At 33.4% G+C, this 16,748-nt stretch overlaps 1 protein-coding gene across 11 annotated transcripts in view; it reads left to right on the top strand.

Moving 5' to 3' along the window:
- The window catches only part of LRBA (LPS responsive beige-like anchor protein), a 751,293-nt gene that overhangs the window by 569,456 nt on the left and 165,089 nt on the right, over nucleotides 1-16,748 (top strand). For all 11 annotated transcript variants that reach the window (XM_047416462.1, NM_001367550.1, NM_006726.5 and 8 more), the window contains 2 exons: nucleotides 9,408-9,548; nucleotides 10,564-10,683. In XM_047416462.1, coding sequence (XP_047272418.1) covers nucleotides 9,408-9,548; nucleotides 10,564-10,683 — 261 coding nt within the window. The remainder of the gene's footprint in view (nucleotides 1-9,407; nucleotides 9,549-10,563; nucleotides 10,684-16,748) is intronic.

Genomic DNA, 16,748 nt, shown 5'->3' with positions numbered 1-16,748 from the left:
ACACTATAGTTTTAAAATGCCTTACAACTCAGATGCCTGGCTCTCTCTGTGTTCTTTAACATAATTTTTAAAATCAATCTCCCTTCATCGATTTTCCCCTTACCCTTCCTGGCCTCAGATAACCACCAGTCTAACTCTTAATCTTTATGAGATCCACTTTTTTTTTTAGCTCCAAAATATGAGTGAGAACATGTGATATTTATCTTTCTGTGCTTGGCTTATTTCCCTTAACATAATGCCTCTAGTTCCATCCATGCCTTATATATTGATATCTTTAACTTATGCTACTTTATGTCTAATTTTTGTATTAAGATTTAGTATTTTTCCAGCCAAGGGTGGTGGCTCATGGCTGTAATCCCAGCACTTAGGAAGGCTGAGGAGGGAGTATTGTTTGAGGCCAGGAGTTCAAGGCCAGCCTGGGTCTACAAAAAACTAAAAAATTATGTCAGTGTGGTAGCATGCACCTGTAGTCCTAGCTGCTCAGGAGGCTGAGGCAGAAGAATCGTTTGAGCCCAGGAGTTCGAGGCTGCAGTGAGCTATGGCTGTATCACTGCATGTGAGCCAGGGTAACAGAGTAAGAGCCTGTCTCTAAATAAATAAACACATTTTTAAAACGATTTAATATTTTTTCCAAAAAGCAATTTATTAGTCTAAAACAGAATAAAATAACTATTTTTACTAATCTTTATGGATTTGGAATCCTCCTTGCTTTTTATAATCATATATTTTGTTGTGCTTCACATGCAAATCATTGAAATATTTAGTGCCATTAGCCCAGGCTTAAGCTAAACAATAAGCACACAGTTTCCCAACTCAGCGTTGAGCAAAACAACATATATATATGTGTGTGTGTATATATGTATATATATATATATATATATATATATATATATAGAGAGAGAGAGAGAGAGAGAGAGAGAGAGAGAGGTTTTCCGAAATTAAAACCAGTTTTATTATATTCAGATGACTTTCAAAGCAAATAGAAAATGAATTTCAAAAGCTGAATGTTTCTTAAGTAGTTCCCAATTTTGTTTTGTTTCTGGTTTATAGAAGCTAGCAGAATGTTGACATGTATGCCACTAATGACCTATCTTAAAAGCATATAGATTTATTTGATTTTAATGGCCTTAACTGGTTTTTTAAGTGGGCAGATGAATATATCTGCAAATTGATAGATCTTGTTATATCAGCATTCTTTATCATTTTCATAATAACTTAAAACATTTTTAGTAATTATCCTTGGATTTTTTGGACTGTCTATGGGGTCGTTATAGGCATTTAGCTCAGCAGTGGCATTGGATTAATAGATTATTTTTAACAGTTTATGTGATTTTCTCAAAATGAGATAAACACCTGTAGAAAAATTACTTAATACTTACTGTGTAGCTGAATAACATAGAACTATGAAGACATCACTAGTAAATCTATCAGTGCAAGCATTTGAAATGATTTAGATTCTACATAGGCACAATAAGTAAAATGGAATACTTTCTTTTCCCCAAGATGTGTTTGTTAAATCGAAATGGTGTAGTGAGTATATATTTAATGCCACTTGTAAGAAGATGTGTTTTCAAGGGATTAAAAAGTGTTCTGGTACTTGACAACAAAAGTGCTTATTTGTTAACTCTAAAAGCCACGGTGGTGTGCTGATGAAATTTTTTTCTTGACAGTATTAAATAAAATCTAGAGCATGTGAGGATAAGTGCCAAACCATTTCGGCCTTATATAGCATATAACGAAATACCCTAAAAGCCAAGGTTGAGTGAAAATGCTGATCAGGCTGCCTGTTATACTTGTCATTTAGATGAAAGAGCGCTACAGTTGAAAGAAAATAGTTGCTGCACCCCCTAACAGTGGCAATGTTGCTGAAATGACAGACACTATTTATTTATTTATTTTCTTCACTAGAGTGGTGGGGGAGGAAGGCAGGTGATGGAGACACTGGGAATCAAATTCATTGGCTTCTATAAAAAGCCTCAGCAACACAGAAAATTAAGGGCTCTCATTTGGGTTCATGGAAAAGATAGAAAAGAAAAAAACAGAAAAGTTAAAAGGAAGATAAGGCAATAAACTTTGGTGACAACATTTACCTTTTTTGTTCACATTTTTTAAAAAAACTGTATTTGCCAAGCATGTTTTTGATGTCCCCAAGATAAAATACGCTTTTTAAAAAAATTCGGTTTTGATGCCTTCTTCTAAGGTGATATCCACAGACATTATGTAAGTAGGGATAAAAACTTTAATAGTATTTTTTCAAAAGAGCATTTAATCTAAAGCTCCCATGAAAGGATTCTAATGGCCTTGCAGAGGCAGCGTACCAGTCCACACAACCCAAATCACTCTGGGATTTGCTAGTCAGTTTGGTTGGAGGTGGCTTTAAAAAAAAAAAAAAAAAAAAATATATATATATATATATATTTTTTTAATTATACTTTAAGTTCTAGGATACATGTGCACAACATGCAGGTTTATTACATATGTATACATGTGCCATGTTGGTGTGCTGCACCCATTAACTCATCATTTACATTAAGTATATCTTCTAATGCTATCCCTCCCCCCTGCTCCCACCCCACAACAGGTGCCGGTGTGTGATGTTCCCCTTCCTGTGTCCAAGTGTTCTCATTGTTCGGTTCCCACCTATGAGTGAGAACATGCGGTGTTTGGTTTTTTGTCCTTGCAATAGTTTGCTGAGAATGATGGTTTCCAGCTTCATCCATGTTCCTACAAAGGACATGAACTCATCCTTTTTTATGGCTGCATAGTATTCCATGGTGTATATATGCCACATTTTTTAATCCAGTCTATTATTGTTGGACATTTGGGTTGGTTCCAAGTCTTTGCTGTTGTGAGTAGTGCCGCAGTAAATGTATGTGTGCATGTGTCTTTATAGCAGCATGATTTATATTCCTTTGGGTATATACCCAGTAATGGGATGGCTGGGTCAAATGGTATTTCTAGTTGTAGATCCCTGAGGAATCACCACCCTGCCTTCCACAATGGTTGAACTAGTTTACAGTCCCACAAACAGTGTAAAAGTATTCCTATTTCTCTACATCCTCTGCAGCACAGCAGTTAGAATGGCGATCATTAAAAAGTCAGGAGGTGGCTTTTAATCTTGCTGCTGCCACTGGCTGGTAACCAACCACTGATAGTCATTTACTTTCTCCCGAACTGTTTTTTTCACCTGCAAATTGGGGATGCTAATTGGTCTTTGTATTAAGAGTTGTTGTAAAGATAATGAGATGATTTATGTAAGACTCGTAGAACCTTTGCTTATATTCAGCAAATAGTAGCATTGTCATCAGATAAAATGGCACCTTTGACATATATATCATAGTTTTTCCCTGGAGTCTTCTCAGACCAAATCATTATTCCCTAATCAAGAATGACCATCTTTTATGATGTAACATTTCCTAATAGTGTATCTATCCTCTTTTATTCTCTGAATTTGAAATTTTTTACTTAATATGTTAACATATATCAGATGCTTGATGATATTCTGTCCTTTAACCTGACATTTTTATAGCATAGAAGAACATTGAGTTCAGCCATCTTGTATTCTATTCCTTACTAGTTTTTTCCTCTTACTTTGCAGTGGTTTTCTTTTGTTTCCTGTGGCCTACCCTACTTTTAGGGAAGAATGAAATAACATATAACCTCTAATTGCATGCACCTTCTTCAGTACTGTAAGGCAGGCTTTATCTGTCATCACGAAATTAAAGGATGTTTCTGATTTCCCAGTCATATCAAATGAAGATTACATTGGCAGATGGCTTTCAGCCAGTCATCAGGATCCTAAGCAGGGTTGTAAAGCAGTCCTGCTCTTTTGCCTCCCTTTCCTGAGCTTCTTTTCAGTTTTGACAACTTTTCTTCACTCCTCTGTATACCCACAGAATGTATCTTGATAAAATACTATGCTTAAGCATTTTCAAGCACCCTATTTATTAGTGTTTTGGTTTAGAGTTACCTTTTTTTCCTTTTCTTTAACCCCAATCTTTTCTGCTTCTCATCTCCAAACGTTGGAGTTTAATGATTTTCCAAAGAAAGCCTTTACAGAAAGGTGTGAAAAACTCCCTTGAGACTTTTGGGTTTTAAAAGAGAAGTTAGCTAACACAAGCAAATCTCTGCTTTGTAAAAAATCTGAGATTTCTTGCCAATTTCCCAGAACTTTCTTACCTTCAATAACTATAAGTATAGTCCAGTAGTTTGGAATTTCACTTCTGAAAGGTTGATATTAATTGTAATCATTCATATATAAATTTCAGAAGGAAAGAAGGAATTATAGTTATGGTATATAAGCACATTAATAGCAGCTACACTTGTTAAGTATTTTTTTGTGTGTGTGCCAGGAACTCTTCTAAGTGCTTACTTATATTGGCCTTTAAATCAACCTGTTAAGTAAAGAAATATTTGAAAAATTGAGATTACAGCACATTTTTGAAATTAGGAAAACCAACTTGTAATACAATAGTTTTAAATATAAATACATAACATGGCCCAGAGAAGGACTTTTGAGTACTAGGTTTGAGTCTTCTAAATTTATGTTGATTTCGAGCTAGGTTACTCAATTCATTTCTTTATTATTAAAATAGGAATATCTAGATTACCTATTTATTATGAGAATGTATAATAATGTTTAATAAATTACAAAATGTAAGCTGGAGGTGGTATTCTTAATTAGATAACTTCAGGTAAGAGTTCCTAAAATTTTAATAAAGAAAGAAAAAACAGATACCTTTTTACAGCTTTTACTAATATTAGACCAAAGTCTGTTATGTGCTTTTAAAGGAGTCTGTTAATTCAAACTGTTTCTTTATAAATAATATAGTAGGAGGTGATTATAAGTTGCTTGATATTTCTTATGCTTTTCGTAGTAAAATTTGGAGGCCCCTGGATTTTTGAAAAGTAATTTTGTTTTGATTATGTTCTTAAAGTAGTAAAATTCATTGATGGGGACTACTGTTTACTCTTAGGCTTCTTACAGATCATCCACAGTACTATATGTTCTTATCCTGCTTTGTCTTTAGAGGATTGTGATGTTTAATCACGGTCTTTCCTAATAGATCCCATTAATTTCATCAGGCTTACTTAGTGCCTTTTTTTATTAAATATTCTTCATCAAATAACCTGAAAAAAATAATAATTATTATCATTATTATTATGTACCAGGCACTGAACTGATCACTTTATATGCAGGGATTTTGTTAACTAGCAAAATTACTTCTCAAAGAACGTAACAAAAAATGTTTTTTTAATTGCAGTCTTCTTACAAAACCAATTTTACAAGTTTTATTTTGCATATCCTGTTTTGAAAGATATCATTATTATCTCATAAGCAGAATACTTATTATTCTACCACAGATGTCAGCTTTGCTATTTGTGAAATTATTAAAATATCCTAAATACAGTGATTTTTGGCTATTCATACCATTTCCAAGAGTTTTGGTTTTCTTTAATTTGTCTTTTCCTACTTTAATCTAAGTTTTTATTTCTGCTTTTTGTTTTGTTTGAGACAGGGTCTCACTCTGTCACCCAGGCTGAGTACAGTGGCGCGATTACAGCTCACTGCATCCTCAACCTCCTGGACTCAAGCGATCCTCCCAAGTAGTTGGGACTATAGGCATACACCACCATGCCCATCTGATTTCTGATTTTTATAGAGACAGGATCTCATCATGTTGTCCAGGCTGGTCTCAAACTCCTGGGCTCAAGTTATTCTCCTGCTTCAGCCTGCCAAAATGCTGGGATTACAGGCAGAGCCACTGTGCCTGTCCTTTATTTATATTTTTAACATAATATTTTGTTGTTAGACCTAATACTCTACATTTTAAATTATTCTATTCTATTTTACTTAAACCTATTTTTCATTGTATTGTGATTGAGATTTTTTCTTAGTTTGTAGAGTTAAGAAAACCTTCTATAATTCTATTTATTTGTTAGCTTTTTGTAGTGTTTAAAATTATTTTTCTGTATTCTAGAGCTATTTGTGTTTACCTGGAATTATACCACTTTTATACTTTCTAATCAATACTTACTTTTACTGATTTTTTAAAAGAAATTATGACCATTTTTAATGGCCAGTATTTTGAGTCACTTTCCTTTAAAATCTTGCTTTTTAAGAAAAATACTTTGTCAAGCTTGTTACATTGTACAGTAAGCTCTATGTAGGATGATGGTGCTAGCATCTTCCCAAACTGACTTAGAATTTTGACTCTTAATATACTATATAAGTAAGAGGATCCGTCAGCATTTACTTTTAGTTCTTTTGCAGAGATGAATAAACATCCTGAAATGCTGATTTAGACAATGTTTTAAAAATGCTTTGATGCACTTTGGTATATGACTGACTCTTGCTTAGTTAAATGTTTTGCAGCATTATAACATAGTTGAATTCAGATCATCTTTTAAAGCAGTTGTCAGAAAAATGTGGGCCAGCATGGTAGAATGTATTAGCTCAATACATTGTCTCCATTTTATTATGAAGCTGCTGAGGAAGCTGTGATATACAGCACTGTCATTACAGATCTATTGTTAGGATGGTTCCACAGTCTTCTTTGCACTGCCATTAATTTATAGCAGTAAACAATATGTAGCCTTCCAACTGCAGCAAAGCAGAATCTTTTAATGAGGTGGATGTTATTACCACAATAAATCAGTGCTTTCGCGTAATGTATAATTCAATGTGTGTATTCCCACTGTAACTTCTCTGAGTAAGCTGATAGTGTATCATTGTCATTGCACAGCTCCACTGGTCTTTTTTTTTTAACTTTCTTTTATTTGGGGACTTCTTTTTTATATGCTTGCAAATAAACGTGGTATGTCTTGATAGCTGTCGTATAGCAGGCTTCAGAAACCAACTGTAACAATAACAGCCAAAATCAATACTGTGGGTTCTACCAATATGGATCTCTGCAAGATGCCATTTTTTTTCAGATGCTAGTGAAATCAATCCTAATTGGTTTTAGCATTATATTCAAGAAACGTGATTCTATAACTATTGATTTTGGGGGTTACTCATTTGGAGAGTAATAAAAATAGGAGCAGATAAAGTGAATACTTATTATGCTTCAGACCATACAAAAGGAGCATTGATTCTATTTTTAATTCATATAATTTGTCTTCTAGTGATTTTATTTCTTCTCTCTTTTCTTTTCCATGGCTCATTCTTTAGGGACAACAACTAAAATACATTTAAAGGCATTTCAAATTGGTTCTGTAACAAAGAAAGAATCCTTGGAGTCAGCTCCATTCTTAACTGGCACATATTTAGTAAGTCAGATATGATTCTTTTGTACAGAAACTAATGCTTTAAAAGATAGCATTTTAAATTAGTTTACTGTGAAACTGACTTAAAATGGTAATTAAAGATTTTTAAAATTTTGCTTGTAAAGGAAAAAATGCCTTAACATACAATAATATTCATTAAAACCAAGCTATTGAGTGATGATGCCAAAGATAGTTTTGAAAAAATAATTAACAATTTAATAAGGATAACCAAAATGATAAATTTAAGATGTTGCTTAACATGTAACATGAAAAGCAGTTTAAAAACTGGTCTGAACATTGCTTCATTTTCAATAAAATATTTCTCAGTGCATCCCTTTTAAACCAATATTTTTGATTTATTTATTTTAACATTTTCTCCACAAATAATCAGATATTTTCTTTCTGTTATAAATAAGGAGTGATTAACTAATAGGTGTTCATAAATGATATAAGGCAAAAGACTGTTGTGTATCTTTTTTTAAATAAAGAATTTTTTATTTATTAATTTATTTAGAGACAGGACAGGGACTCTCTCCATCACCAAGGCTGGAGTACAGTGGCACAATCATAGCTCACTGTAGGCTTTAAGGTGCTTGGGCTCATGTAATCCTCCTACCTCAGCCTCCCGAGTAGCTGGGATTACAGGGACATGCCACTATGCGCAGCCGATTTTTAAATTTTTTTGTAGAAACAGGGTCTCACTATGTTGCACAGGCTGGTCTTGAACTCCTGGACTCAAACAATCTCCCACCTCGACCTCCCAGAGCACTGGGATTATAGGTGTGAACCACTGCACCTGGCCTCTGTATCTTATGAAAAGAAGTAATCTTATATATCATGTCTTTTTCAGTGAGTGGGTACTTAACATTTTGAATACGGAATAGAGATTTTCTAGAGATCAGAATGTTTTTTGAGAATGAATTGTTACTTAAAGCAGTTGATCTTAACATTTTTTGAGCCTTAGACTCCTTTGAGACTCTCAAGCATATTCTCTACGTCTTTGTAAGGATATGTACATGCATAGGCTTGATCACACAGAATTTTGCCTGCTATTTAATGGAGTTCGTGTATTACCTAAATGACAACAGCAGTAGCAATAATAAAGATACAGGTACCAACTAACATTTATTAAGCTTTATCTTATGCTAAGCAATTTGCTAAAGGCAATTATTTCATTCAAACTCTTTAACCCAAATTCTAAACAATTATCTTAAAAACCATAGTTAGCATTCATTGAACGTTGTCAGGCATAGTTTGTTGGACTTTAACGTACCTACTCATTTTTATCTTCCAAAACAACCTTTTGAATGAGTATTATTATCATTCCAGTGAGCTCAGGGTTTTCACCATGTTGCTATATTGCTCTGGGACCTCTGCTGTAAAGTATTATTTTCCAGTATAAGTTCATAATCTGTCTACTATTCTTTTTTTAATGCGATATATATATAGCATTATTTTTAATGTGATATTTTTAATTTTATAATATATATATATAGAGAGAGAGAGAGAGTTCATGCCGGCATATTTTTAATCCTCTGGTTAAAGTATATACATATATATGTATATATCTATATATCCTATATAGACATATAGGCATATTTTTATCCTTTGTTTTCACTCACACTAGTAGAAATTTCTAGTTTCTTAACCCTGTTTTCCCACAATTTCTTTCTTCCTTTGTGCTCCATCTCACCTATCTCCCAGTTTTGTTTCATCCTCTTCTAAGAACCCATTATAAGTCAGTCCTTCAGCTTTAAGATTCTGTTTCTGGTTGTTGCTTCTAATTAACTAAATGTGGTTTTATAGGTGCTTTCCAAAGTGTTGTACAGCTGATATTTCACTTCATGTAATTGTCTTTATCTGATGCTTGTTATGGGATGATTAAACACCTATGTTCCATGAAAACTAGACTTATGGAGAAATGATGGGTTCATCCATTCACTTACTTATATGTTGTGTTTAACTTGTTGGAAAAAATATTGCTTTTTACTCCCAATATGATACTGTGTTGCAGCTTAAGTAGTATATATTTTTAAAATTCACTTTTATACTTACCAGTAGGATATCATCAGAAGAGAGGAAGACATGAAGGATGATTACATTGATGTATTCTTTGTTTTTTCCCTCCCTATTGGCAGCCAATAGGAGCTCTGAACCCAAAAAGAGCAGCATTCTTCGCTGAGCGTTATGAATCATGGGAAGATGATCAAGTTCCAAAGTTTCACTATGGTACTCATTACTCAACTGCAAGTTTTGTTCTTGCATGGCTGCTAAGAATAGTAAGTTCAATTTGAATAATACACCATGGCTAAATAAATTCAGTGTTGTGAAGGATATGCAAAAATTAGAACTCATAAGCATATTTTTTTGAATACTAAAAGAGTCAGTTTAAATTATTGAAGTTCTAATTATAAATATCTCTATCTCATTTGGCTTGTATTGCCTTAAAAATGTTTCATCTGGAATTGTATGAATTTTTTTCTTAAATTTGCCCCTTCAGATGCTTGCTGTCTTACCAGATTCCAAATTGTAGCATAAATTCTTTTAAAATGTAGTCTATTAAAATAAGAACTAAGTAAGTTGTTACTAACACAGACATGTACTTATATATTTTGGAAGGTTGTCCCAAATGGAATAAGGTAAGTTTGTTGGTAAAACTAAGGCTGTCGTGTATTGATAATATATTGGTTAAACAAGAAATGTTTCTGTGAAATTGAAAGGTGATTCATCTACTAGAAAGCAATTTCTTCGGAAAAGCATTAGCAGCACATCATTAATTAAAGCTTGTTAGAAGGATACAGGCAGACATAAATCCTAGAAGTAATTTATAGTGCTTAGCTAATTTCAAGCAATTATCCACTAATATGTGTTTAAGTGTTCTTTAACTAAGAGGAGGCTTTTAAATCATCCAAACATTTTTCTTTTCTTAATCATAAATTAAATATTGAGCCATAACAATAGGAAAACTACATACTGGACTATTCCCTGTACTATGAAGAAAATACATCTAATTTATGTCTGTATGATATTAATACATTATTCTTGGAAAGGAAGGCTACCTGAAGAAAATGTTGCAAATACCAAATTTTTGAAATATTTAGAAATATTTCTTTTGAGGGAAAAATAACTTGAGAACATTAATGTAATAATTTAGATATAATTCTCATTATATACCTAGTTTATATTACTAGTGAATGCCTATTAGTCATTAAAGTATTTAGTTCTAAGAATTTATAAAAACCACATTTTTATGCCTGAGGGAACATATGGATTTTTTTAATTGCTATTTTTTAGGAACCCTTTACAACTTATTTCCTAAATTTGCAAGGAGGCAAATTTGATCATGCAGATCGAACTTTTTCATCAATTTCCAGAGCTTGGCGAAACAGTCAGCGTGATACCTCTGATATTAAGGTACAGAAATGTTTTGTTTTATAGTTGTTATTGCCAGTGCATTACTTGTTGAGTGAATGTTGAAAATTTTCTCTACTGCCATACAGCCCTATTTACAAAAGATAAATCTCAGAAGATAAGTCCTTAATTAAATGGCCAAGAATTACAGCATGTCTCTCTCTGTCTCTATCTCTTGTCTTTCCCTGGGAGTTTTTGTTGTTATTGTTTTGTTTTTGTTTTTGTTTTTGTTTTTGTTTTGGAGACAGAGTCTTGCTCTGTCCTTCAGGCTGGAGTGCAATGGCGTGATCTTGGCTCACTGCCACCTCCACCTCTAGGGTTCAAGCGATTCTTCTGCCTCAGCCTCCCAAGTAGCTGGGATTACAGGCATCTGCCACAACGCCTGGCTAGTTTTTTTGTATTTTTTTTTAGTAGAGATGGGGTTTCACCATGTTGGCCAGACTGGTCTGGAACTCCTGACCTCAAGTGATCTGCCTGCCTCAGCCTCCCAAAGTGTTGATATTACAGGTGTGAGCCACCGCGCCCGGCCTCTCCCTGTAAGTTCTACATGACTGTCTCTCCTCTATCAGAATCTCTCCTTCCTCTCTCTCTGTCTTTTGTTGTAGAGTGTTTTTTTTATTTTCCCTTTCTCTTTAGAATCTTTTTGTTGAAGGGAAAATATGGTAGGTAGTGTGAATGTAAAGCATGTAAGGCACCATGCGTAATGGGATTCCGAACTCTTTTTTTTTTTTCTTGAAACAAGGTCTCGCTTTGTCACTCAGGCTAGAGGTGCAGTGGCACAATCACAATTCACTGTAGCCTCAACCTCGACCTTCCAGGCTCAAGTGATCCTCCTGCCTCAGCCTCCTGAGTAGCTGGGACCACAGGCATGTACCACCACGCTAGGCTAATTTTTTATTTTTTGTAAAGATGGGGTCTCCCTATGTTGCCCAGGCTGGTCTTGAACTGTCTTACGCGATCTTCCTTCCTCAGCCACCCAAAGTGCTGGGATTACAGGTGTGAGCCATTGTGCCTGGCTGGAATTCCAAACTCAGTGAACAAAATTACTATAGTCTGAAAAATACCATGAGAAAAATCTCAGACATAGATATTTAGATATCCTATGTACCCGTTCTTGAAATAATTGTGTTTTGCCTGCTGCTGGTTCTAAAAGCATACCTGATTTTGCTTAGTAAAGCATTCCATTATTAATAAAGCAAAAACAAGAGTTATTCTATCTATATGCATGAAAGATCAAAGGATCAAAAACTGCACAGTAGCTAGTAATAGTCCTTACTAGAATTTTGCTTCTACCTACAGAAATACAGTCTATTTTTTTTTAAATGGTGTCTCTTTCTGCAAGGTGTACTGTGTTAGATCTATTAAGTATAATGAGATATCCCTATGGTTTTGAAGTTCCTTATAGTTCCATAGAGAAATATGACATATATAAATAATTATACCATATGGGAGAAAATAAGTGCCAGATGAGAAATATTGGAGTCCAAAAGGAGAAAAGTTATACTGCTAATGTGTATGTTACTGTAGAGTACTTAAAAATTTTTTCAGTATAATGACAATTGCATCTTGCTTTTAGGTATGATACTTTAAAGTCTACAAAATGTATTCACATCTTACTGTAGAGTACATTGCTTATGTGAAAGATACTTTATTAAAGAAGATTCTATTGTATACAAAAATAATCTTTTATTGGGACATCTATCAGGGTTTTTGATCTCACAAATAATATACTCTGATATACTCTTGAAAATTATATATCATACTCTTTAAAAATCACCAGTAAATAATTTTGAATTGGATGTTTAGATAAAAGTAAGTAAGAATAGTTAACAGATATAATAATTTTGTTAAATTTTACCTCTAATCTCAAAGCTGTTTAATTACTTATGTAACTCTTTTGAGAAATAATAAGAGAAATGAAAATATTGATAAGCCTGACATTTTGTTATGAAATTGAAGACTTATGTGTGGGTTTTTTTTTCTTTCCAAATTCCTTCATTTGTTAAGCATCTCATGACCAAATTTTAACCTCATACCTAAGTTTGCTACTAGAAATATAAACAAAAATGAAGTCATGAATTTGAATATTATGTTTTGCTGCTTTATAATAGCAATAGTAGGTATCTTCAGCTTTCTGCCTCTATCTGTACTAGACATTCCTGTTCATTGCTTTGATGGGCAGGAGGTACATATGATAGATGCTAGTGATTTTGTTTTCTTTTTTTCCTGAACCTCAGCCTTTTTCTTTCAAGATTCTTTAATTGGTTTGTGTCTGGTTTCATTTTCTCTAAAAATTCTTTAAAATACCCTACCTGTAAAAAAAATAAAAAAGAAATCTAAACAACTATAACATCAAAAGAAATCACATGGTCTTCTTTACCTTTCTTCTTCCTTATTTTTCTTATTATTCTTGTTTCATCACAAATAATAAGGAGTCAAATCCAGCTCCCTCTTATGTTTGGAATATGTTTCATTATGTTTGGAAGCACAAAATTTTTTTCAGAACTTACTTTGTGAAGCCTACTGATATTTTTCCACCAATGTGTATATTCTCCTTCTCCATCTCCATCACCATGCCCTAATATCTGTAGGATAGTAAGTAGGGCATTGATAAATTACCCCCATTTTTATATTGATAACCAGCTAATTTGGGCCCTAAAACTTAGTGACTTTCAAATACTTTGACAATTGTATAATATATGGTTATACAGGCTATTTAAAGAACCTCCTGTTGGTTGGTCTTTCTAAAACAGGAGGAATTTAATCATGCCTCTGTTGTTGTTGTTTTGATCCTGTTTATTTTTAAAATGTTATATTTTGGCACCTTAGAAAGTATATTTAAATTATTATAATAGAGATAAATATATAAGAACACACTTAACACTTTGAGAAGCCGAGGCGGGCGGATCACGAGGTCAGGAGATCGAGACCATCCTGACTAACACGGTGAAACTCCGTCTCTACTAAAAATACAAAAAATGTGGCAGGCACCTGTAGTCCCAGCTACTCGGGAGGCTGAGGCAGGAGAATGGCGTGAACCCAGGAGGCGGAGCTTGCAGTGAGCCGAGATAGCGCCACTGCACTCCAGCCTGGGTGACAGGGAGACTGTGTCTCAAAAAAAAAAAAAAAAAAAAAAAAGAACACACTTAAATTACTGTAATATATGTAAATATATGTAAATATTTCATTCAGCTATCACATATTTCAGGTGGAGTCATTATTAGTTATAATTGTCAACTTTATTTGTATTGTCTTGCTGGAGTTCCTAGAAATACTAAAGAAATGTTAAACAGTAGAGAGGAGATGGTGAAATATGATGGTGGGGTGGTAGGAATCATTTTATTGAGTAGATCCTAAAGCATACCTTGCCTGATTAATATAGTATACATTCTGTAAAATGTTTTTGTGAGATTTTCCAAAAACGAAATGTAAGGTATGAAGAAGATTTAAATTTTTTCAGAAAGAAAAAAATAAGAATAGGGTCACATTTCTGGTAACTTAATTGTTTTTTTGCTGAGGGGGAGCTGTTACTTGAATATCTTAAAATCCCTATTTCTTAAATTTTCCCAATACTCAAAGAATAATATTACCCAAAATTGAGGTTATTCCTATGAAATGAAGGTTAAAATGTTAATTCTTTTTATTTTAAAGAAGAGACCTTTTTTTACACTAAAGCAATCTTTTATTTATAGCATAATTTACTGTTTTTAAAGTTTTGTGGATAATTTGTATTTCTCTGCATCATTGGTGATTCCATTTCAGATCTGACCTCTCAATGATGGTTTTTATTCTCCCTGAAGAAGCAGATCAGTAGTGTTGATCAGTTTTCTAAGTAGACTTAGAGCGACTCTCCAATGGAAATATAATACAAACCACAAATATAAGCCACTTATGTAATTAAATGATTTCATAGTCGTATTTTTAAAAGTAAAAAAAAATTAATTTTAATAATTTATCTTAACCGTATATATCCAAAATATTATTTCAATATGTAATCAATATAAAATTATTAGATATTTTACATTTTTTGATACTAAGTCTTCCAGTGGTATTTTATACTCAACATGTCTCTATTTACATGGCACATCTGTGTTGAGACTAGCCACACATTTTGTGTTCAATAGCCATTTGTGGCTAGTGGCTGCTGTCTTGGGGCAGTGCAGATTCAGAGCATTGTTTTGGAATCACATCAAGGGATAGTTTGGGCTTATGGAAAGAATGCCTTCACCCTTTTTGAACAATGATGTTTCTGATGTGTACTTCATCTAAAAATAAACAGACAATTAGTAGCAACAATCTGTAATCTTGAAGACTGAAATACAAAGTATTAAAATTGGGTTGGAGAATTATCACTGTGATAAATAATATTTTAAAATCCCCAGTAGATTCTGTGTTTTAAATCTTTAAAATTCACTTAAATTTAGAAACTGGGGTTCAGAATAGTTTACTTTCTTCAGCCTGAACCTTGAATTATTATGACCAAATTTTATGTAACAAATTAGACTCATGAAGTTTAAATGAATTTGACTAGACAGCTACATCTAAATATTAGGCAAATATCTAAGCTTTTCTAGGCAATTTATTGTCATTGATTTTTTCCCCTTCTCTTGAGGTTGCCTACTCATTTCAGATTCCTTTAGTGTTGATAAATTCAATCTAATGGTGAAGTACAATCTGACTTGCTGCAGTTTAAATTATTTTCTTTCTCTCCTGTAGAAATGATTACTACTTGGTACTAGAACATAGAAGGAATCATAAATGTCATCCCAGTTCATTACTTTGGAATGGGGACAGTAGTAAATGGATCTGAAACGGAGATTGTTGGAGAACCATACTTTTTTAGAAACCCCGAATTTAATATAATAATATATTATTAAATTATAACCTGTACAAAAGTAAATTAGATTAAAAAGTTTGGAGGAACCCTGAGATATCATTTACTTTTAAAATTTTGTATTTTAATTGTGTTTATCCAGTGTCAGACTCTGGTTGTGATATAGCACCAAATATGACACAATTCTTGCCTTCAGTGGGCTTTTGCACTAGAGGAGATACCTACAGTAAAACAAGTCCCAGCAATTTAGTACAGTAGGCTCATGCCCCTTGGGCTCATGGATACAGCGTCTGAAATGAAGAGAAGGAAGAGGAAAGAGGAGATTCAGGACCAATCATGAGGGGCCTTCTGCTTTGTGAAAGAGGATGAACTTTATCCTGGGTGCAGTGGGGAGACTTGGGAGAGTTTGAAGCAAAGAAGTGACATGAATAGATTTTGTGCTTTTAAGAGACCGCTGTGATTGGTGTTGACATATGTATTGCCCTTGTCTATGGCCCAGAGTGGAAGCAGTCAGTAAGTTGTTAATTAGGCAAGGAGCAGTGAAGGCTTATATTCAGTAATGCCAGTGGGGCTAGAGAAATGTGGATACATTTAAGATATATTTAGAAGGTAACTGTTAAGATTTGGTGATTGATTTGTCTTGTAAGATGAGAGAGAGAGAGTGAAAGATTAAATTTGACTTGGGCATATATATATAGCACAGAAGAAAGAACAAGTTTTGTTAGGTCATAGATATTTAGCTCCCTGCCTTTAAGAAGAAAACTATGAGAAGTCAATTAAAATCCCCCAAAACACGTTTAGTTAGGCTAGCATTTATTGGTTATTTGCTATATTTAATATATAGTAGAGAGCATTTAGAATTAAAAGAATAAAATAGACATAGTTCTTTAGTTAGCATATCTCTCCAGATGAAAAAGACAGGCATATATAAAATAATTTTTAGTACAAATTAGATAGTGATAAGTGCTATATCTTATATAGTAAGATATAAACAAAATTAAATTAATTCTGACTGGGGGAGATGGGATTGCAAATGACTTTACAGAATAAGTGATTTTTAAGCTGTATCTTAAGGGATGCAGGAGAGTCTAACAGACCTCCCACATTTATGTCTCTAGCCTGTGCATTTCTCCTGATATCTGACTCCCTCCTCGACATCTCCATTTGAATATATAAACTGTATCTTAAATTTAACATGTTCAAAACTAAATTCCTGATCTTCATTTCTTCAAAG

This window comes from Homo sapiens, chromosome 4 (assembly GCF_000001405.40).
Source record: "Homo sapiens chromosome 4, GRCh38.p14 Primary Assembly".
NCBI classification, from domain to species: Eukaryota; Metazoa; Chordata; class Mammalia; order Primates; family Hominidae; genus Homo; species Homo sapiens.
Note: the sequence above shows the minus strand (reverse complement) of the source record. Positions and strands in the feature narration are given on the sequence as shown.